Genomic DNA, 22,861 nt, shown 5'->3' with positions numbered 1-22,861 from the left:
TTTTGTACCTTTTTTTAAAAAAGAAATTATTTGTATCATAAAGGACCTAAATAATATACATGGCATGAATGTACATCTGCCTGTGAATGCTGAATTTATTCTAGAAAATATTGCTTTGCACTCTTTGATTCTAGCTTGTGTTGCTGACCTCACTAGTATAATTATTGGCTGACTTTGTCTCTTTTTCCATTTCCTCCCAATCAGTTTGGTAAAGGTTGCTCTTACAACATCTGTCACAGCTTTGGAAAGGAAGGCAAGAGGACAGACTATACACCTTTCAGTTGCCTGAAGATTATTCTATCCAATCCACCAAGCCAAGGGGATTATCATGGTAAGTGCCTCCACTGGATATGTTGGCCAAGTACAGAAATCCAAGAGCTCTGTTGGAAACACTGAAACAATGCTGCGGCTTTTTGCATTCCTGTCAGGACCTAGTTTGTAGCTTATGTCAGTCGTCACTGTCAAGCTAGAGCTCCATTACTCTTAGAACAATTTGTCTTATTACTGAACTAGGTCAGGCAAGAGAAATTCATTCAGCTGCACTTCAGTTTGTGCTGGATTAGGCTTTTCAGTTCTCACTTTCTTCCTTCCCGCTGTTCTCTGTCTCCCTCATCTTCTGCAGTGTTCTGCGAGTGTCTTAGAGGGCGATGTAAGTTTTACAAAGCTTTTTGAAATTAGAATATTCTAAGTTTGGAATAGTAGATTCATTAATTTTCCAAAGGCTAACTACTAAGGAAAAGTGTGAGGTTTTTTTCTTATCACCATCATCTGATTAACCAACAAAGATTAAGTGGGCAATTTAACATGTCGTGATATCTGCCATAACTATCAGTTTGCCTGAGTTATTTATAAAGAAAAACAAAACATCTCATTTGTCTGGTATGTCCAAGAATGAATTAATAGTTTATATCAGTAAATTTTCTGGATTATCAAAGCTTACTACAGTATGTGTCAAAACTTATTTTTGTTTTAGAATCTTAAACACTTTTTAAAAGACTGCACACTTTTGGACTGCTAAAGATCAAATAATCATAAACAATATTTTTAGAAAGACATTCTATGTGACCAAATCATTAAAAAATGCCTATATATTCATTAGTTAATAGATGAAGAAGTGGCCAGCACTAGTTATATAGATAGGCAGATAAGATAGATCTATATATAGACATAGATTTTTTTTTTTTTTGAGACAGAGTTTCGTTCTTGTTGCCCAGGCTGGAGTGCAATGGTGCAATCTCGGCTCACTGCAGTCTCCACCTCCTGGGTTCAAGCAATTCTCCTGCCTCAGCCTCCTGTGTAGCTAGGATTACAGGCACCTGCCACCCAGCCTGGCTAATTTTTTGTATTTTTAGTAGAGACGAGGTTTCGCCTAGTTGGCCAGGCTGGTGGGCCTCAGGTGATCTGCCCGCCTTGGCCTCCCAAAGTGCTAGGATTACAGGCCTGAGCCACCACAACCAGCCTGGTAATAGATATTGAGTGGTTTTTATCACTTATTTCAGAGTCCCTTGAGGTACTTTTTTAGAAATGCAGATTCTCAGGGTGCACCCTCAGTCATATAAAATCAGACTTTATTTGCAAGTACACTGGGTGAGTTTTATGTCTTCTAAAGTTTGAAAACCATGGGTCCAGGTACTTCTGTTGAGGAAGCCTGAAGCCTTTTTTAGCTTAGCAGCCATACCAGGCAGTCAACTTATGATTAAGCTTGTGGCCAAGTAAAACTCCCAGGGATTTGTCTGCAAATTTCCAGGTTCTAGCATTTGTCTCTTAATTAGTTGGTTTTCTTTAGCTTAAATGCAAAACTTTATTTCTGTTAAGTTGTATCTTGTTATCCCAGTGCTTTATGTTATTATTTTGTTTCTAAGTTCAACTCTGTCAGTCAAGAAATATTATACTTAGCACTCAATGAACTCATTATTTGTTGGACATTTACTTACTCCGTTTTTAAAAAGTAATAAACTTAATTTTTTAGAGCTGTTTTAGGTTCACAGCAAAATCGTGTGGGAAGTTCAGAGTTCCCGTATACCTCCATGCCCCAACATACGCACAACCTCCGTTGCTGTCAGTATCCCACACCACACTGGTACATGTGTTACAATTGATGAACCTACATTGACAAATCCTTATCATCCAAAGCCCATAGTTTACAAGAGTTCATTGTGTATTTTGCATAACAGTACTTTATCAGATTTGTCTTTTGCAAATGTTTTCTCCCCATCTGTGCTTCTGTTCTTTTCTCTCTTTTTTCACCTTTTGGGATTTCATTTACACACACGTTATACCTTTTATAGTTGTCCCATAGTTCTTAGGTATTGTATTTTGTTTTGTTTTGTTTTTGTCTTTTTTCTCTTTGCTTTTTAGTTTCAGAAGTTTCTATCTGTCACATCCACAAGATCCAAGGATTTTCCCCAGTCATGTCCAGTCTACTGATGAACCTATTGAAGACATTCTTCATTTCTGTTACAGTGTTTTTGATCACTAGCATTTCTTTTTTGTTCTTAGAATTTTCATGTCTCTGCTAGCTGGTTATTCCAACACATTTATTGAATAGGGAGTCCTTTCTCCATTGCCTATTTTTATTGACTTTGTTGAAGGTCAGATAGTTGTAGGTATGCTGTCTTATTTCTGATTCTCTATTCTGTTTCATTAGTCTATGTGTCGGTTTTTGTACCAGTACCATACTGTTTTGGTTACAATGGCCTTATAGTATAGTTTGGAGTTAGGTAGAGTGATGCCTCTGGCTTTGTTCCTTTTGCTTAGGATTGCTTTGGTCATTTAGGCTCTTTTTTAGTTCCATATGAATTTTAGAATAGTTGTTTTCTTATTCTGTGAAAAATGACATTGGTAGTTTGATAGAAATAGCATTGAATCTGTACATTACTTAGGGTGGTATGGCCATTTTAATGATATTGATTCTTCCAATCCATGAGCATGGAATGTTTTTCTGTTTGTGTTGTCTCTGATTTCTTTCAGCAGCGTTTTGTAGTTCTTCTTGTAGAGACCTTTCACTTCCTTGCTTAGATGTATTCCTAAATATTTTATTTATTTATTTTTTGGTGGCTACTGTAAACAGAATTGTGTTTTTGATTTGGCTCTCAGCTTGAACATTGTTGGTATGTAGAAATGCTACTGATTTTTAAGGCTGGTCGTGGTGGATCATGCCTGTAATCCCAGCACTTTGGGAGGCCAACACGGGTAGATCACTTGAGGTCAGGAGTTCAAGACCAGCCTGGCCAACATGGTGAAACCTCATTTCTACTAAAATTAAAAAGCAAAACAAAAATTAGCCAGGCGTGGTGGTGTGCACCTGTAATTCCAGCTATTCAGGAGGCGGAGGTTGCAGTTGGCTGAGATGGCACCACTGCACCAGGTGACAGAGTGAGACTCTGTCTCAAAAAAGAAATGCTACTGATTTTTATATATTAATTTTGTATCCTGAAACTTTGCTGAAGTCATTGATTAATTCCAGGAGCCTTTTTGGTGCATTCTTTAGGGTTTTCTAGGTATAGAATCATATCATCAGCAAAGAAAGATAGTTTGACTTCTTTTCCTATTTGGATGGCTTTTATTTCTTTCTTTTGCCTGATTGCTCTGGGTAGGACTCCCAGTAGTATTTTGAGTAAGAGTGGGGAGAGTGGGCATCCTTGTCTTGTTCCCATTCTCAAGGGAAATGGTTTGAGCTTTGGCCCATTCAGTATGGTGTTGGTTGTGGGTTTCTCTTGGATAGTTCTTATTATTTTGAGGTATATTCCTTTGGTATCTAGTTTTTTGAGGGTTTTTATCATGAAGGAATATTGGATTTTTTTTTTTTTTTTTTGGAGATGGAGTCTCACTCTGTTTCCCAGGCTTGAATGCAGTGGTGCGATCTGGGCTCACTGCAAGCTCCGCCTCCTGGGTTCATGCCGTTCTCCTGCCTCAGCCTCCTGAGTAGCTGGGACTACAGGTGCCTGCCGCCATGCCCAGCTAATTTTTTGTATTTTTAGTCGAGATGGGGTTTCACCGTGTTAGCCAGGATGATCTTGATCTCCTGATCTCGTGATCCGCCTGCCTCGGCCTTCCAAAGTGCTGGGATTACAGGCGTGAGCCACCACGCTTGGCCAGGATATTGGATTTTATTGAAAGCTTTTTCTATTGAGATAATATGTTTTTTGTTTTTAATTCTGTTTATGTGGTGAATCACTTTTATTGATTTGCATATGTTGAGTCAGACTTGCATCCCAGAAATAAAGCCTATTTGATCATGGTGAATTCGCTTTTTGATGTGCTGCTGGATTCAGTTTGCTAGTATTTTGTTGAGGATTTTTGATTCTATGGTCATCAGAGATATTGGCCAGAAGTTTTCTTTTTTTCATTGTGTCTCGGCCAGATTTTGGTATCAGGGTGATGCTGGCTTCATAAATTGAGTTAATGGGGGGAGTCGCCCCCCTTAGTTTTTTGGAATAGTTTTGGTAGGATTGGTACCGATTCTTCTTTGTACATCTGGTAGAATTTGGCTGTGAATCTACCTGGTCCAGGGCTTTTTCTGGTTGATAGGTTTTTTATTCCAGATTCAATTTCAGACCTCATTATTGGTCTGTTCAGATTTTCACTTTCTTCCTGCTTCAGTCACGGAAGGTTGTGTGTTTCCTGGAACTTAGTCATTTCCTCTAGATTTTCTAATTTGTGAAAAATGCACAATTATTAACTTACAAATCTATCATCTGTATGACTGAAAAAAAGACTTTTCTGTATTAAATTTTTAATAAGCATTTTGACTTACCATTGCAGTTTGTTAAAATATCTAAAATTTTCTAGATTTTGTCCTAAAACAGCTTTTGTATTTCAAATTCTTCTGTATTCTTATTTATGTGAATATTTCTAGTGGTCTTTCATTTTTTTCATGAAATAATATAACGATGACACATATCCACCATAAATTGTTTTTCTATGAAATAGTTTATTTTTTCATCTCATTTCCATCCATGATTCTTTTACATTTTCATAGATTCTACGCTTTAGGAAATAGGCATATAATTTACGTTTGAAAATGATGTTGAATTTTTTTCTTTCTCAGAGTTTGCATGTTTTTCATTTTGTTTATCTATCTTCCTTCTCTCATATGCCTTTTATATAATTTTTAGACTAGAATATAAGAAGATTGTTAAAGTTTTAAAATAAACTATTACATAGCTATTTTGTGATTATTTGTGCTTGTTAGCAAGGAGCATAATTAAAGCTGTTTTCCCTCTTCCTGTTGAATGGACATCTTAGCCTGAGAATGCTGCAATGTTTTATGTAACTCTTGAGCCTGGAGTGCCCTGATAACCATACAGCTAAGTAATCATTTAGATGAAAAGAGGAAAGCAGTTGCACCCATGGGCAATTACCTTTTTTTATTAATAAGCTGTTAGACAATTAAGGGGAGCTTAGATGGTCTCTCGAGTGTGGTATTGTACTAAGTTGTGGGTAAATAACCTTGTTTGTGTGCTGGCTTATTTTTTTGTTGTCAGGGTGCCCATTCCGTCACAGTGATCCAGAGCTGCTGAAGCAAAAGTTGCAGTCATACAAGATCTCTCCTGGAGGGATAAGCCAGGTAGGTCATATTCTTCTCTCTGCATCTGCAGTAATGAGGCCTTAGACAGATCTGTCGGTTTTATTTAATGTTCTTGCAGTGATGCTGTGTACCACTTGTCAGGCCTCACACCAGACATCTTATCTTCAAGATGAATTAAGTTAAAACCTTGACTTATCTGGTTTAGACTCTTGGGAAATTCTAGTTCTTCTGTCTGCTAAGCTGCATTTTTATTTTTCCTAGTCATAAAGGAAGCTGGAAACCTTCCTCCACACCTCAGTTTGTTTTACTATCTCAACTGGGGACTACATCTTTAAAAATAAAATTTTTGAGCAATGCATGGAAGCTTATTAATGAAGCTGAAAATTAATGACAGCATATTGCAGTTTGGGAAATTATTTTCTGAGCAGATGATAATGTAGTACATACTGGCTGAATGTTCTGATAGGCATCAGTTATTGCTGTGTTTAATCTACACTTCTGATGGTAGATCAAATAGTTTGTCAAAATACTTTGTCTTATGAACAATGGAAATGCTCAGATTGTAAAACCAAATGTGAAACAGTACATTTTTTAGTAGTAGTAACTCTACCTTTAAAAAATTAATATTGTGACATAGCAAAGACTATTTTCTATAGTGTGCTTTCAAGTTGACTGGAATTTTGAAGGAATAGGGGAAGAGCTTCTGCTTCCTTAGCTTAAGAAGAACATTATATATTTTAGAGTTAGAACATCTAAATCATCATACATCTTTAAACTGTTATTTTTATTTAAAGAAAATTGTTACTCTAGACAACTTTACAGCTGCTTCTGTGTCCAAAGTTCAGATAACAAATCTTAAACAGTTTTTTAGTACTTTGAGCAAAGCAGTGTTCAAGGTGCCATAGAGTATGCAAGGAAGAATCAGATATAAATCCTGCTCCCACAAAACCAGTGTCTGAAAAAAAAAAAACATAAACCAAGTGTCATGAGAGGTACACATAGACTGTTTTGGGTCTTCTGATGAGGGAAAGACTATAACCAGCTGAAGAGGTCAAGGAACCCTTTATGGAAGAGATGCCCTTTGAATTAGGCCTTGCACGAAGGTTGGGAATTAGGGAGAGAGAATGCACAAATGAAAGACTATAGGAGTATTAAGATTTCAAGCTTAGGATAATGGTGGCACCAATACATAAATACTAATAGGTAACTTAAAGGAAGTATAGTTGGTTTCGGTTTGAGTGACTTAATTTTAGTGGTTATAAACTGCTGCTAACATATTTGATAAGGAATCTAGAAATAAAGAATTAGTGGCTTTTTTTTAAGCAATCATAAAGGATCACCTTTTTGAAAACAATACAAGTTCTTAGTGTATCTATGTTAACATATTATGTCTGCATTTAAATGGTATTAATGTGGATTTAGGGCATTAGATAATTTAGGACTAGAAATCTGATGGTCTTTTCAGTTAGAATTGTAGCATAGGTAGAAAGCCATTCTCTTTTTTGGAGTCCTAGGATGTGACATGCCATGGTGCATAGGTAGGAAGTCAGTGGCAGAACCAAAAATTGAAGCCAGGCTTTCTGACTCTTAAGATTTTTTTTTTTTCCCTGAACTCCACTCTACTTTAGAGCTTATTATCATGAGTTTGCTGGAGGGAGAGAAGAGGTAGGGTGTCAAAAGCTGTGTTTGAAAATGTAATCTTGGCTAATCCTTCTCTTTGTCAAGCATTAAAAGGAGGTGGGATCAATGAAGACTGAACAGAAATGGGGAGAGAGGGAGAAAATACATTAGGGTAGTGAAGTATCACAAAAGTCAAGGAGAAAATTTTGAGAAGAGAATAAGTTCCACAGAGTCCCTTGTAGCAGAGATTTCTTTTCATGGAGAGAACTAAGAAAAGGTGGTTGGATATGCTGAGAGGATTATTTGACTTTGACTTTGGTGAGGTGTCAGTAAAATGGTGGAAACCAAAAGCAAGATTATACTTGCTTAAAAAATTAATGAAAGACAGTAAATAACCTTTCCAAAAAATGTGTCAGGCCAGGTGCAGTGGCTTGTACCTGTAATGCTAGCACTTAGTAGGGAGGCTGAGGCAGGCAGATTGCTGAGCCCAGGCATTCAAGACCAGCCTGGGCAACATGGCAAAAACCTGTCTCTACAAAAAATTAGCAGGTGTGGTGGCATGCAACTGTAGCCTCAGCTACTCAGGAGGCAGAGGTAGAAGAATCACCTGAGCCCAAGAAGTTGAGCCTCCAGGGAGCCGTGATCATGCCACTGCACTCCAGCATTGGCAATGGAGTGAGACCCTGTCTCAAGAAAAAAAAAAAGTGCCAGTAAAGGGGATGCTATAGTGGTATTAGCTTAAGCATCATTGTTCATTTCTGGGTTTAAGACCTGAGCCTATCTGTAGAAAGAGGAGGAGAAGAAAGAACTGTCAGAGAGGGTGGGCTTGATGAAGATATAAAAGAAAGAAAATATCTCTCTAACCAAGCAGAATTAAGTTCTCTTTTCTTTATACCATGACTGGATTGTACATGCCTTTGCTCTTAACATTTGTTACACTTGATTGTAATTATTTGTTTACCTGTTCATCTTTCCCAATAGTTTGTGAGTTTCCCGAAAGGAGGACTGGATTTTTACTTAACTTTCTGTCTCATGGCAATCCAATGAGTTACACTTGTTAGGTGCTTTAAAAATGTTGGAAGAGTGAATGGGCATATTTAGGTATGAGGTGGATGCTAGAGTATGCATGGTGGTATGCAGAGAGAGGCAAATAGGAACTCAAAGACACAAGTGAAAAAGTAACTTATTGGAGGAAGGACGATATGTACTTGAACCAAAGAATGGTGACAGAGAAAGTCATACCCCTCAGCAATGTGGGAACATAGAGGAAATAGTTAAGACACAGCAAAGGGAAGTTGATGGAGTGTATCAACTGGTCTCACTCTTCCTTGTAAATAAAGTAAGGAGGGTCATCAGCTGGAGAGTAAAGGGGTTATGAATGATATTCTGGTTATAGAAAATGTTAGAAACTACCACCAACAAATGTGATAGGGAATCTAGAAGAAATTAGAGGCGTTTTTTAGCAGTCATAAAGAATCACCTTTAAAAAAAATCTTAATATACTAACATTATCTCAAGAAAATTAATGTTTATAGTTAATAGTAATGACCATGTTTGTATACTCTTTGCTTTTGACTCCACTGTATTTCTCCATTTGCCCTTGATCCACAAGGATACTCCTTACTTAGCTGAAGCTGGTTAGTAATTTTCACATTACCCTTTAGACCTGCATTGTAACCTTTTATCTGAGATGAACACAGATGTATAGTGCATGCCAGCAAGCTGTAAATAATGTCTTGCTTTTATATGATGTCTTTATTGAGTGGATCTCACTAGAGTGAAGCAGCTGGTGGACTGTATTCTAAAGGGCAGAGAGTCAATGAATGAAAATGCCATGTAAAACATTTTGATGAGGTTGAATTTTGCAGGTTGGCCTAAGTGCAGATTAGATCTTGAAAACTCCAAGCGTACATTAAAATATTGAATGAGAGTTAAGAAAAACATCATTAAAATGTACGTAAGGTAGAACTCCATGTGGTTATTTTTATCTCAGAGAAAACTACTTGAAAAAGATACCTTCAACAATAGGAAATAGATTTTTTTTTTTTTAATTTTTGGAGACAGAGTCTTGCTCTGTCTTCCAGGCTGGAGTGCAATGGCGCAATCTCGGCTCACTGCAACCTCCATCTCCCGGGTTCAAGTGATTCTCCCACCTCAGCATCCCAAGTAGCTGGGATTACAGGCACCCTCCATCATGTCCAGCTAATTTTTGTATTTTTGTAGAGATGGGGTTTCACCATGTTGGCCAGGCCAGTCTTAAACTCCTGACCTTGGGTGGTCCGCCTGCCTCGGCCTCCCACAGTGCTGGGATTACAGGCGTGAGCCATCACGCCTGGCCAAGAAATAGATGTTTTAAATAATCAGAATTTTGGTGATCAGAAAAGAGATCATTGTGACTCAGCTGGTGTTGCTGATTTTTTTTATAAAGCATACTTACAGGATCACATTTCATTTTCCTTTTTAATTAACCTTAATAGTGTTACAAAATCACTGAAAATTAATGAGCTTGGTATCCAGCTTAAGAAACAGCAATTAAACAACAGAATATGGCCAAAGAAAATGGGTACCCCTGCATTTATTCTCCTCTCCTCCCCGAAAAGAGAAATACACAGCAGTCAATTCACCAACACGATATAAAAATTATAAATATTTATGCCCCAACAACATAGCTTCAAAATACATGAATTAATAATAGAGAACTGAAAAGAGAACTAGAAAAATCCACAGTTACATTTGGAGACTTCAGCACTCCTCTTAATAATTAACAGAAGAAGCAGGCAGAAAGTCAGGAAGGATATAGAAGCCTTGAACAATACTGTCAACCAACTTTACCTAATTAACATCTGTAGAACATGTTACCCAGCAACAGGAGACATGAAATAGTAACCCAGGTAGATCATAGTCTAGGTCTTTAAAATCCATTACAAATGTAAATAATTTGAAATCCTATAAAGTAGGATTTAAAGCAGAGCAATAAAGCAAGAAAAACAAAAGATTAGAAAAGAAGAAAGAAAACCTTTTTCTATTCTCAAAGTGATTATCAGTGTAAAAAATCTCAAAGAACCTAGCAAGATGCTACTGTAACTAGTAGGTGGAAGGATACTTACTCAATATACAAAAATCAATTCTATTTCTTACAGTGAACAATTGGAAATTAAACATTTCAAAAAGTATTAGTTTGCTGCAAACATAATTGTGGCTTTTACTGCAAATACTTTTGTAGCAACCTAATACCATATACAGCAGTACCAGAAATCCAAAATATACATGAGATCTTTACATGAAAGACTGATGAAAATGAAAAAGTGGAGACACATATTTCCTGATTTCAAAACTTACTGAAAACTATTGTAATTAAGATGGTGTGGTATTAGGGAAATGATGAAGACAGATTAATTGGACAGAATAGAGTTCAGAAGTAGACCCACATATATACGGGCAACTGATTTTTAAACAAAGGTGCCAGGGCAATTTAATAAGGAAATGGTAATGTGGAGTTCCAGAACAACTCCAGAGTTCTAGAACAAGTAGATCTAGAACAATTGGATATCCAAATGCAAAAATCCTAGACATATACCTCCAAGCTTATATAAAAATTATTTAAAAATTGATTATAGAACTAAGTAACTGTAAAATGTGAAACTTAACAAAAGAAAACAGAATATCTGCACGAGCTTGGGTTTGGTGTGTTCCCTGAAAGAAAATAGTGATAAATTAGACTTTACCAAAATTAAAAATTTTGCTCTGCAAAAGACAGCTTTAAGAGAACAAGATAAGCCACAGACTGGAAGAAACTATTTGCAAATCATAAATTTCATAAAAGATGTGAATCCAAAAGATATAAAGAACTCTCAAAACTCAGTAATTAGAAAACAGTTTTTTAAATGGGCAAAACATTTGAGTAGACAGTTCACCAAAGAAAAAGTGTGAATGGTAAATATAAGCACAGGAAAAAATATAGCTCATTAGTGAAATGAAATTTAAAACTACAATGAATACCATGATATGCCAAATAGAATTGGTCTAATTTAAAAAAATCAAGCAATACTAAGTGCTAGTGAGGATGCAGAGTGACTGAAAGTCTCATACAATAGTGGAGGAAATGCAAGTCATAGAGTCACTTTGAAAAGGAGTGTGGCAACTTCTTATAAAATGAAGCTTACACATGCTATGTGACACAGTGATACCTGTAACTAGTATTTATAGAATTGAAATAAAAGCATAAGTACACATAAAAATCTGTTCCTAAGTGTTTATAGTGTAGGCATTATTCATAATTGCCAAAAACTAGAAACAACCCAGATGTTCTTCAGTGTGTGATTGGATAAACAAATTGTGGTATAGTCATACAATGGAATATTACCTGGCAATAGAAAGGAATAAATTACTGGTACACCCATTAACATGTAAGGTTCTCAAATACATTATACTAAGTGAAAGAAGTCAGACTCAAAAGCACTATGGTGTATAATTCTATTTGTATGACAAATCTGTAGGTACAGAGTGATTGCTGGGAGCAGGAGAGGTGTTATAAAGGACAAGGGAAATATTTTTGGGTAATGGGAATGATCTGTGTTGATTGCAGGGTAATATCAAAAGTGAATTTGTCAAATGTTGCAGAACTATGATAAAAGGAAATATATTTTATTTAAAAACTTTTACTTTTTTAGGAAAAACTTAGTCCCTGAGTAAAAAGGGGATATATTTTACTGTGTGGAAATTATACCTTAAATTTTTTTCTTTTTTTTCTTTTCGCTTTTTTTTTTTTTTTTTTTTTTAATAGACAGGGTCTTGCTCTGTCACGCAGGCTGGAGTGCAGTAGTGTGATCATATCTCATTGCAACCTTGAACTCCTGGGCCTAAGTGATCCTCTTGCCTCAGTCTCCTAAGTAGCTGGGGTTACAGGTGCACATCACCATGCCCAGCTAATTTTTTACTTTTTTGTAGAGATAGAGGTCTTGCTGTGTTGCCTAGGCTGGTCTTGAACTCATGGCTCAAGCAGTCCTGTCACCTTGACCTCCCAAAGTGCTGGCATTATAGACATGAGCCACTTAATTTCTTTTTTTAATGGGGGGAGAAAGAAAGGGTAGATGGTAAGTAGCATAATGAGCCAAAATATTTAGTTTTCATAGTAAAAATGCAGTGGATTAAGTTTATATCAGGAACTTAAAGTATAAACATATAATTTAGAGTGACATAGACAACATCTTATGTAATAAAAAATGGAAATGGTTAAAGTAATTGCCTCTTGGAAACTAACCAAGCAGTGGGAAGAAATGTGATATGAGAACTGTTGATTTTAATAATAAGCCATAATGTACTTCAGTTTTTTTCCTTACATACATTACTTTGATTAAAAGTTAGAAAGAAAGTATAATGTTATTAATGAAGTTTAAGTTAAATGGTCGTGTGCCTAATGGATAGATGGTAATAGCAGTAGTACTAGATGACTGCAAGGTCTTTGGGTATGAAATTCTAACCCTAATCCCTCTGAGCTCCCAGTACCTAGCATAGTATCTGATCCATGTTAGGAACTGTGAAGGATCTGAGATTTTACCCTACTTGCAAGCTAAGAACTTAGCTGCCACACTTCTATGGATTCTGGCAGAAGACATGACAATTCCAGCAATAGCAGTATGTCAGCCTTTTCTTGCATTTGTTCCTTGAGCCCTACTTCCCACAGAGCAACATGAAGGCCAGGTACTACCTGCACATGCAGTGGCTTGCTTGTGTTGGAGGAGGGAAACCCTGAATTTAGGGAATCTGAACCTTTTATTATGGACAGTAAGTATGTCTACTCTTTTAATTTATTTTTAATTAATTAATTATTTTTTTTGAGACAGAGTTTTGCTCTTGTCACCCAGGCTGGAGTGCAATGGCGCGATCTCTGCTCACTGCAACCTCTGCCTCCTGGGTTCAAGCAATTCTCCTGCCATATGTCTGCTGTTTAATCCAGTGGAAGGAACCATTGTCTTCCAGGGCTGTTCATTATATCAGAGGTCCCCAACCCCTGGGCCACGGACTGGTACTTGTCCATGGCCTGTTAGGAACAGCAGGAGGTGAGCCAGGGCAAGCAAGCATTACTGTCTGAGCTCCACCTCCTGTCAGATCAGTGGCCATGTTACATGGTACTGGTCCATGGCCTGTTAGGAACAGCAGGAGGTGAGCCAGGGCAAGCAAGCATTACTGCCTGAGCCCCACCTCCTGTCAGATCAGTGGCCATGTTAGATTCTCATAGGAGCTCGAACCCTATTGTGAACTGTGCATGCGAGGGATCTAGGTTGTGTGCTACTTATGAGAATCGAACTAATAATGTCTGATGATCTGAGGTGGAACAGTTTCATCCTGAAACCACCTTTCCACCCTGGCCCGTGGAAAAATTGTCTTCTACGATACTGGTCCCTGGTTCCAAAAAGGTTGGAGACCATTGTATTATATGAACATCTTTGAAAAAATGGTCTGAAGTAAAGGCCGTTGTTGCCTCTATTTGCAAAATGTTCAGAAATTTAAGACTATTGGAAAGTTATTTCTCAGGAATACATAGCTGATGACCAGTGAATAATATATAGATATACAATCTATATTGGTCACTTCTTATTGGAACCTCAGCTTTTTCTCCTTAAAATATTGGTGTACGTTGGCTGGGTGTGGTGGCTCACACCTATAATCCCAGCACTTTGGGAGGCCGAGGCGGGCAGATCACAAGGTCAGGATATCGAGACCATCCTGGCTGACACGATGAAACCCCGTCTCTACTAATACAAAAAATTAGCCGGGCGTGCTAGCGGGCGCCTGTAGTCCCAGCTACTTGGGAGGCTGAGGTAGGAGAATGGTGTGAACCTGGGAGGTGGAGCTTGCAGTGAGCAGAGATCATGCCACTGCACTCCAGCCTGGGCAACAGAGCGAGACTCTGTCTCAAATATATATATGTGTGTGTGTGTGTGTGTGTATACATTTTAATCTCAATACTTTCATTAATTTCTTTTCAAAATTGGCAGTGAGTTAAAAAATCCTTTCAATGTTTTGTTAGTTTGGGTATCGTATCTATTATCAATAGTTTCTGCCTAAGTTAGATGTCTGAAGTTTCTAATTATTCTAAAAACACTTTTGTTTTTTAGCTTTTATTTTCCACTTCAGCTTTTCCTTTAAAAACCTGCAATTTTATGATAGAAATATTTATATTTTGAGATACAGAAATTTTAGAGCTGGGCGCGGTGGCTCATGCCTGAATCCCAGCACTTTGGGAAGCCAAGACCTATGGGTTGCTTGAGCCCAGGAGTTCGAGACCAGCCTGGGTAACTTGGCAAAACCCAGTCTCTACAAAAAAATATAAAAATTAGCCAGGCATGGAGGCATGCACCTGTAGTGTCAGCTATGCAGGAGGCTGAGGTGGGAGGATTGCTGGATTGCTTGAGCCCATGGGGACTGAGTGAGCCATGATCATGCCACTGCACTCCAGCCTGGGCCACAGAGTGAGACCCTGTCTCCAAAAAAAAAAAAAAAAAAAAAATTGAGAATATGTGTTCAAAATATTGACAGTAAAATCTCTTATTGGCCTTAAATGGTTTGTTTCTCAGAAGTTTTTTCTATTGTGGAAAGATGCACATGAAATTTTCAAATTGTACTTTGTTTCATGGGCTTATAATGGTGTGCTATGTCCTATTTTAATAGAAAAATTGGGGCTGGCCACAGTGGCTCACGCCTGTAATCCCAGCACTTTGGAAGGCCGAGGTGAGAGGATTGCTTGAAGCCAGGCGTTGGAGACCACCTTGTAGACCCTGCCTTTAAAAAAGTAATAAAAATAACAGTTGTGGTGGTGCACACCTGTAGTTCTAGCTGTTCGGGAGGCTGAAGCAGGAAGCTTGCTTGAGCCTAGTAATTGTTACAGTGAGCTATAATTGTGCCACTGTACTCCATCCTGGAAGACACAGCAAGACTCCATCTCTCCAAAAATTAACAAACAATAAATACATAAAGTTTATAGGAAAATTGTCTTTTTGTTATACTGAATCACTTGCGGCATATCCTTAGTTCTCACAGAACTTAATAAATAAACAATAATTGCTGCCTACAGACTAATCTAAAAGTGGTAGTTCATTGTAATATATGCCACAATGAAGTTAACGTCTTTTATTGTAATCTCTGAATGCTATTACTCCTTAATAGTTTTTTTTTCTTATTATGTAGTAATGAGGGGTGTGCTTGATCTGTCTCTGGAAATAGAACAATTTGAAGCCATGGTAGTTTGTTTTATTTTTGGCCTGCTTATGCAAAGCATTGTGATGGAGGCTTTACACAAATAAACTGTATCTCATTTGATTCCCACCACTACATTATCCCTATTTTATAGATGAGAAAGCTGAGGTTTGGAGAAGGCAAGAAACTGCTCAGAACCATAGAACTAATATATGATAAGGCCAGAATTCACACCTATGCCTGACAGTGAAGCTGAAGTTTCTTACAATACATTGTTCTGATTCTCTGTAGTATTTTTCTATTTTAAATCCAGTTGAAATTCTTTTTGGTTTCTTCTTTCATGGAAAGCCATCACTGTGAAGTGAATGGTAATTCTTATGTACCTAAACCTAAGAAAATGTATAATGCATTGTTGAAACACTGACAAATGTGAAATAAAGATGAGAATAATTCAGAAAATGTAAATTATATATGGTAACAGATTTTCAAAAGATCTGATTGCTTTTTTTATTGAGGTGAAAGTCACATAACATACAAATAACTATTTTAAAATGTACAATTCAGTGCATTTAGTACATTCACAATATTTTACAACTACTATTTCTATCAAGTTCCAAACCTTTTCATCACCCCCAAAGAAAACTTCATACCTATTAAACAATCACCTCCTGCTGCCCCTAGAAACTAATAATCTGCTTTCTATTTCTGTGGATTTACCTATTCTGAATATTTCATAAAATAGCATCATACACTGTCTGGCTTACTTCATATAGCATTTTTACAAAGTTCATTTGTGTTTTGTTCTTTTGAATGGCTGAATGATACTCCATTGTATGTCTGTACCACATTTTGTTTATCCATTCGTCCTTTGATGGACACCGGGTTGTTTCCACCAACTGGGTGACTTTAAAAATTTATCTCACAGTTTTGGAAGCCAGCAGTCAAGGTGCTGGCAGGTTAGTTCCTTCTGAGAGCTGTGAGGGAGAATCTGTTCCCACGTTTTCCCCAGCTTCTGGTGGTTTGTTGGCAATCTTTGACTTGTAGATGCATCACTCCAAACTCTATCTTTATTTTCACATGGCTTCCTCCCTGTACGTCTTCTCACCATCTTTGCTCTGTGCATTCTTTGTCTAGTTTCCTCTTTTTAGGAGGACACCAGTAATATTGGATTAGGGCTTACCTTAATGACCTCATTTTGATTACCTCTGTAAATACCCTATTTCCAAATAAGATCACATTTTTAAGTAGTGGGAGTTAGGACTTCAACATATCTTTATTTGAGGGACACAATTCATTTCATAACACCATCCTTTTAAGTATGCAGTGATATCTCATTGTGGTTTTGATTTGCATTTTTCTAATGAATAATGATGTTGAACATCTTTTTATATGCTTTTTGGCCATTTGTACATCTTCTTTGAAGAAATGTCTATCCAATTCCTTTGTCTATTTTTGAATTGGGTTGTCTTTTTGTTGAGTTTAAGAGTTCTTAATATATTTTGGATACAAGACTCTTATCAGATAGATACATGATTTGCAAATATGTTCTCCTATTCTGTAGATTTTCTTGTCAACAACTTCTTAATGTCTATCGGTGGACAAAAGATTTTAATTTTGATGAACTTTGTTTTCTTTTGTTACTTGTACTTTTAGTGTCATAATTATCTATATTCAAATTCAAGGTTGTGAATATTGACATCTATGGCCTTGTATAAAAGTATTATAGCTCTAGCTTTTATATTTAGGTCATTGGTCCCTTTTGAATTAATTTTTGTAGATGGTATGATGTAGGGGTTTATCTTCATTCTTTTGCTTGTGAATATCCAGTTTTCTAACACTATTTCTTGAAGAGACAATTTCCCCATTGATGGTCTTGCACCCTTGTCAAAACTCAATTGGACATAGATGTATGGGATAATTTCTGGAATCTCAATTTCTACTGTATTGGTCTATATGTCTGTCCTTATGCCAGCCAGTACCACACTGTTTTGATTTCTGTACCTTGTATTGAGTTTTGAAATCAGGAAGCATGGAATCTTCCAATTTTGTTCTTTTTCAATATTATTTTGGCTATCTGGAGCTCCTTGCAATTCCATATGAATTTGAGGATCAACTTTTTTATTTCTGCAAAAACAGCCATTAGAACTTTGATACGGATTGCACTGAATCTGTAGATTGTGTATAAAGAGGGATCATGGCAGATGGGAGGCAGGACTAGATTGCAACTCCTGACAGAGCAGCATGTGGAGGCTCAAATTGTGAATTTTAGCTCCAGATCGACTGCAAGAACAAACCAGCAATCCTGAGAGGACCCTCAGACTCTCTGAAGGAAGCGGACTGCTCCTGCAGGACCCAGGAGACACCCCAAATACTCTGGGAGGTGAAAGCCTCGGGCAAGTTTTCAAGCCCACCTTCCACCTGGAAACAGATCTGGGGCTGTTGTGGGGGGCATGGTGGGAGTGAGATCAACCCTTCAGTTTGCATGGGAGCTGGGTGAGGCCTGTGACTGCTGGCTTTCCCTCACTTCCTTGACAACCTGCATGACTCAGCAGAGGCAGCCATAATCCTCCTAGGTGCACAACTCCAGTGACCTGGGAATCTCACCCCGTCCCCCACAGCAGCCGCAGCAAGACCCACCCAAGGAGAGTCTGAGCTCAGACATGCCTAGCCCCGCCCCCCACCTGACAGTCCTTCCCTACCCACCCAGGTAGCAGAAGACAAAGGACATATAATCTTGGGAATTCTAGGGCCCCACCCACTGCTGATCCCTCTGCACTGCTACTGCTGATGCTCTCTGGAAAGCGCCACCTCTTGGCAGGAGGCCAACCAGCACAAAAATAGAACATTAAATAACCAAAACTAAGAACCGTCATAGAGTTCATTGCACCTTCTGCCGCCTCCAACGGAACAGGCGCTGGTATCCATGGTTGAGAGACCCATAGATGGTTCACATCACAGGACTGTGCAGAAACCCCCAGTACTAGCATGGTGCCAGGTAGACTCACTGGATGGTTAAACCCAGAAGAGAGACAACAATCATTGCAGTTCGGCTCACAGAAAGCCACAACCACAGGAAAAATGGAGAGTACTACATCAAGGGAACACCCTGTGCACTAGAATCTGAACAACAGCATTCAGCCCTAGACCTTCCCTCTGACAGAGCCTACCCAAACGTGATGGAACCAGAAAACCACCCCTGGTAAAATGACAAAACAAGGCTCATCAACACCCCCTAAAAATCATACTAGTTCACCAGCAATTGATCCAAACCAAGAAGAAATCCCTGATATAACTGAAAAAGGAATTCGATAGGTTAGTTATTAAGCTAATCAGGGAGAACCAGGGAAAGGCAAAGCCCAGTGCAAGGAAATTCAAAAAGTGACACAGGAAGTGAAGAGAGAAAGATTCAATGAAATAGATAGCTAAAAGAAAAAACAATACAAAATTCAGGAAACTTTGGATACACTTTTAGAAATGCAAAATGCTCTGGAAAGTCTCAGCAATAGAATTGAACAAGTAGAAGAAAGAAATTCAGAGCTTGAAGACAAGGTGTTCGAATTAACCCAATCCAACAAAGACAAAGAAAAAAGAATAAGAAAATATGAACAAAGCCCCTAAGAAGTTTGAGATTATGTTAAACTACCAAACCTAAGAATAATTGGTATTCCTGAGGAAGAAGATAATTCTAAAAGCTTGGAAAACATATTTGGGGGAATAATTGAGGAAAACTTCCCCAGCCTTGCTAGAGACCTAGACATGCAAATATAAGAAGCACAGGGCCAGGTGCGGTGGCTCACACCTGTAATCCCAGCACTTTGGGAGGCTGAGGCAGGTGGATCATGAGGTCAGGAGATTGAGACCATTCTGGCTAACACAGTGAAACCCCATCTCTACTAAAAATGCAAAAAATTAGCTGGGCGTGGTGGCACACACCGGTAGTCCCAGCTACTTGGGAGGCTGAGGCAGGAGAATCACTTGAACCTGGGAGGCTGAGGTTGCAGTGAGCCAAGATCATGCCACTACACTCCAACTTGGGTGACAGAGTGAGACTCCATCAAAAAAAAAAAACAAAGAACACCCAAGAAATTCATTACAAAAAGATCTTCGCCTAGGCACATTGTCATCAGGTTATCCAAAGTTGAGATGAAAGAACGAATCTTAAGAGCTGTGAGACAGAAGCACCAGGTAACCTATAAAGGAAAACCTAACAGATTAACAACAGATTTCTCAGCAGAAACCCTACAAGCTAGAAGGGATTAGGGCCCTATCTACAGCCTCCTCAAACAAAACAAACATCAGCCAAGAATTTTGTATCCAGTGAAACTAAGCACCACATATGAAGGAAAGATAACAGTCGTTTTCAGACAAACAAATGCTGAGAGAATTCGACATTACTAAGCCACCACTAGAAGAACTGCTAAAAGGAGCTCTAAATCTTGAAACAAATCCAGGAAACACATCAAAACAGAATATCTTTAAAGCATAAATCTCACAGGACCTGTAAAATAAAAATACAAGTTAAAAAACAAAAACAAAAAACCAAAGTATGCAGGCAACCAAGAGCATGATGAATGCAAAGGTACCTCACATTTCAATACTAACATTGAATGTAAATGGCCTAAATGCTCCACTTAAAAGGTACAGAACTGCAGAATGCATAAGAACTCATCAACCAACAATCTGCTGCCTTCAGGAGACTAACCTAACACATAAAGACTCACATAAACTTAAAGTAAAGTGTGGAAAAGGCATTTCATGCAAATGGACACTGAAAGCAAGCAGGGGTAGCTGTTCTTATATCAGATGAAACAAACTTTAAAGCAACAGCATTACAGGCAGGAGCTGCCATGCCAGGCATTTTGCTCACTGCTTTCAATGATGTCATGTCTTTTTTGTCCCTCAGTTTCTCCATTAGTACCTTCTTTTGCATTAAATTTTTTTTTGGTAGTGTACTTAGTCTGTTTTGTGCTGCTGTAACAGGATACCACAGACCAGCTAATTTATAAATGAAAGAAATTTATTTCTCACAGTTATAGAGGCTGAGAAGTCCAAGGTTGAGGAGCCTATTTCTGATCTGATGAAGACTTTCTTGTTCAATCTTCACATTGCAGAAGGACAAGAGAACAAGCTAGCCAAATGCCATCTGAAGCTGCTGCTGCTTTTTTTCTTTATAAGGGCCTTAGTTCTATTAATGAGGAATGAGCCCTCATGGCCTCATCATGTCTTAAAGGTTCCACCTCTTAATACTAGCAGATTTGCAGCACCTGAACTTTGGAGGGGACACATTCAGACCACAGTACCATAGTACCATTTTTATTCCCATCACTTTTTTTTTTTGATGTATTTTTTTCTCATTATTTGCTTAGTCGTTATCCTGGAGACTGTAACCTTTTATATGTATAACAATTTTTAATATCAACTTAGCATCTATTATATACCAAAACTCCACTTCTGTATAGCTCTGTCCCTCCCCCTTATATTGTTGTCACAAGTTACATCTTCATACATTGTGTGCCCATTAACTTATAATTACTGTTTTATGCATCGTCTTTTAAATCATTTGAGAAAAAAGAAGAGTTACAAATCAAAAACACAATAATACTGGATTTTTAATACCTATATAGTTACCTTAGCTCGTGTTCATTCTTTTTGAATGGCTTTGAGTTACTTTGTAGTGATCTTTTCTTTCTGCCTGAAGGATTTACTCTAGCATTTCTTGTTGGGCAGGTCTACTAACAACAGACTCCCTCAGCATTTGTTTATCTGGGAATGTCTTACTTTTTCCTTATGAATCTTGGTTGACATTTTTGTTTTCTTTCTTTCTTTTTTGAGATGGAGTCTCACTCTGTCACCCAGGCTGGAGTGCAGTGGCACGGTCTCAGCTCACTGCAACCTCTGCCTCCTGGGTTCAAGCAATTTTCCTGCCTAAGCCTCCCAAGTAGCTGGGATTACAGCCAGTTTGTGTTAGCTCCAGTATACCACTGGCTATAGTAAAATGTACACCAAGTTTCACAGAGTAATAATAGTATCAAAAAAAAGCATTACAAAATATCTCAGTAATATTTTATATTGATTACATTTTGAAATGACAATATTTTAGATATATTGCTTTGAATAAAATATATTACTGAAAATAATTGCTTATTTTTACTGTTTTAATTGTGGTTATAGAAAATCTAAAATTACAGATATGTCATATTTCTGTTGAGAGCACTGCTTTAAGTGTCGAGCACTTGAGAATGTTGAGTATTCGAGTGATTAGGTTCTGTTTCTACAGTGTATTTTAATGTTTGCTTCTGCTGTACAATTGTGTTAGACCTATTACAACCAATACTTACTTTTACATGTTGGCCCATAAGTAAGTATACATAAGGCTATTCATTTTTCAAGATTTTGATTGAAATGATACATTATTTACAAATGTATTTCTGCACTAATGTTTTTAAAACTGTCTTTTTATTTCTCATTTTAGTTTTTTTAATAGAGGAAGGAAATGTGTTTTAGAATTTTCACTCAACTATTAATGATTTTTAAAACAAATCTAATTGGTGCTTCTAAGAAACTTAAGAGTGAATTAAAGCCATGAAATATGAAAAAATGTATGCTCTTATTGCTTTTTGAGAGGTTGGTTAACCTCTGTTTTTCACAGTCAAAAATTCTCAAGAAGTTAGTGACTATATTAAATCTAAAACTGGCAAATGCCTTTTAATGAAGAAATCTTTCAAAGGGGACAGTTTAAAAGACTTAAAAGTAACTCTTTGTCAAGAAGTTTTTATGATAAAGATAAATTTCAATGACTCTTTATTTAATGTTCCTAAAAATCTGAGCTACCTAAAAACTCCTATGATTTTCTTAGGTAAGGGGGACTTACCAGTGGATGATAGTATTCAGGCTGTCTATTACTTTATGGAAAGTAACTGCTTTTAAGGGGAGCTTTTGTATCTATTTCGTCTTCAGGAGTATCTCTTCTGATTTTTGAGAACGGTAGTTTGATTGCTGCACTTAGCTTTGCTTTTCTTAGTGTTGTAGTTGAAGATGTGTAACGTTCTTGGTAAAACTCAGAACTGCATTAAGGAAAAGATGGGAAGTTGAGCATTAGAATTGGTGTCACCAGGCCATGGTTGTACTTTTGGCTTTAATACTTGATTTCTGTGTATATCCTTCCTTTCTTATAGGCTGAAGATAAATGGTTGCTTGAAGATTTAATGTTCAAGGTGGTTCAAAGAAAAATCACTTTGAAAGTCAAGTAACATATGTCATTGTTAGCTAAGCCTATTAATTAAAACTTATATTCATTAAAATTGCATTCAAATGGAAAACATCCTTTCTTAAAATTTAATACTCTGTTCATATAGTTACACATCTTTCTATATTTATTATGTATTCATTACATGAAAAACTACTGATACCTATGGAAGAATTTTATTCAGTCACATATGATACTGTCACTTAGGATATTTTTGTAAAGTCAAACCTAACTACCTATAGTCATAAAACTATTCTAACTTAGTTCTA

General features: G+C 37.4%; 1 pseudogene across 1 annotated transcript in view, besides 1 other annotated feature; it reads left to right on the top strand.

Moving 5' to 3' along the window:
• The window catches only part of LOC101930420 (DNA primase large subunit-like), a 139,540-nt pseudogene that overhangs the window by 91,660 nt on the left and 25,019 nt on the right, over nucleotides 1–22,861 (top strand). Inside the window, exons 4-5 of the transcript NR_172933.1 lie at nucleotides 205–331; nucleotides 5,487–5,569. The product of NR_172933.1 is annotated as a DNA primase large subunit-like (transcript). The remainder of the gene's footprint in view (nucleotides 1–204; nucleotides 332–5,486; nucleotides 5,570–22,861) is intronic.
• Nucleotides 1–22,861: part of a centromere (Linear centromere model derived predominantly from reads generated in PMID: 17803354. This region does not represent an actual centromere sequence, as long-range ordering of repeats and unmapped WGS contigs is not provided by the model. For details of model production, see http://arxiv.org/abs/1307.0035.) that runs on past both edges of the window.

The sequence above is a fragment of the Homo sapiens genome, chromosome 3 (genome assembly GCF_000001405.40).
Source record: "Homo sapiens chromosome 3, GRCh38.p14 Primary Assembly".
NCBI lineage: Eukaryota > Metazoa > Chordata > Mammalia > Primates > Hominidae > Homo > Homo sapiens.
Note: the sequence above shows the minus strand (reverse complement) of the source record. Positions and strands in the feature narration are given on the sequence as shown.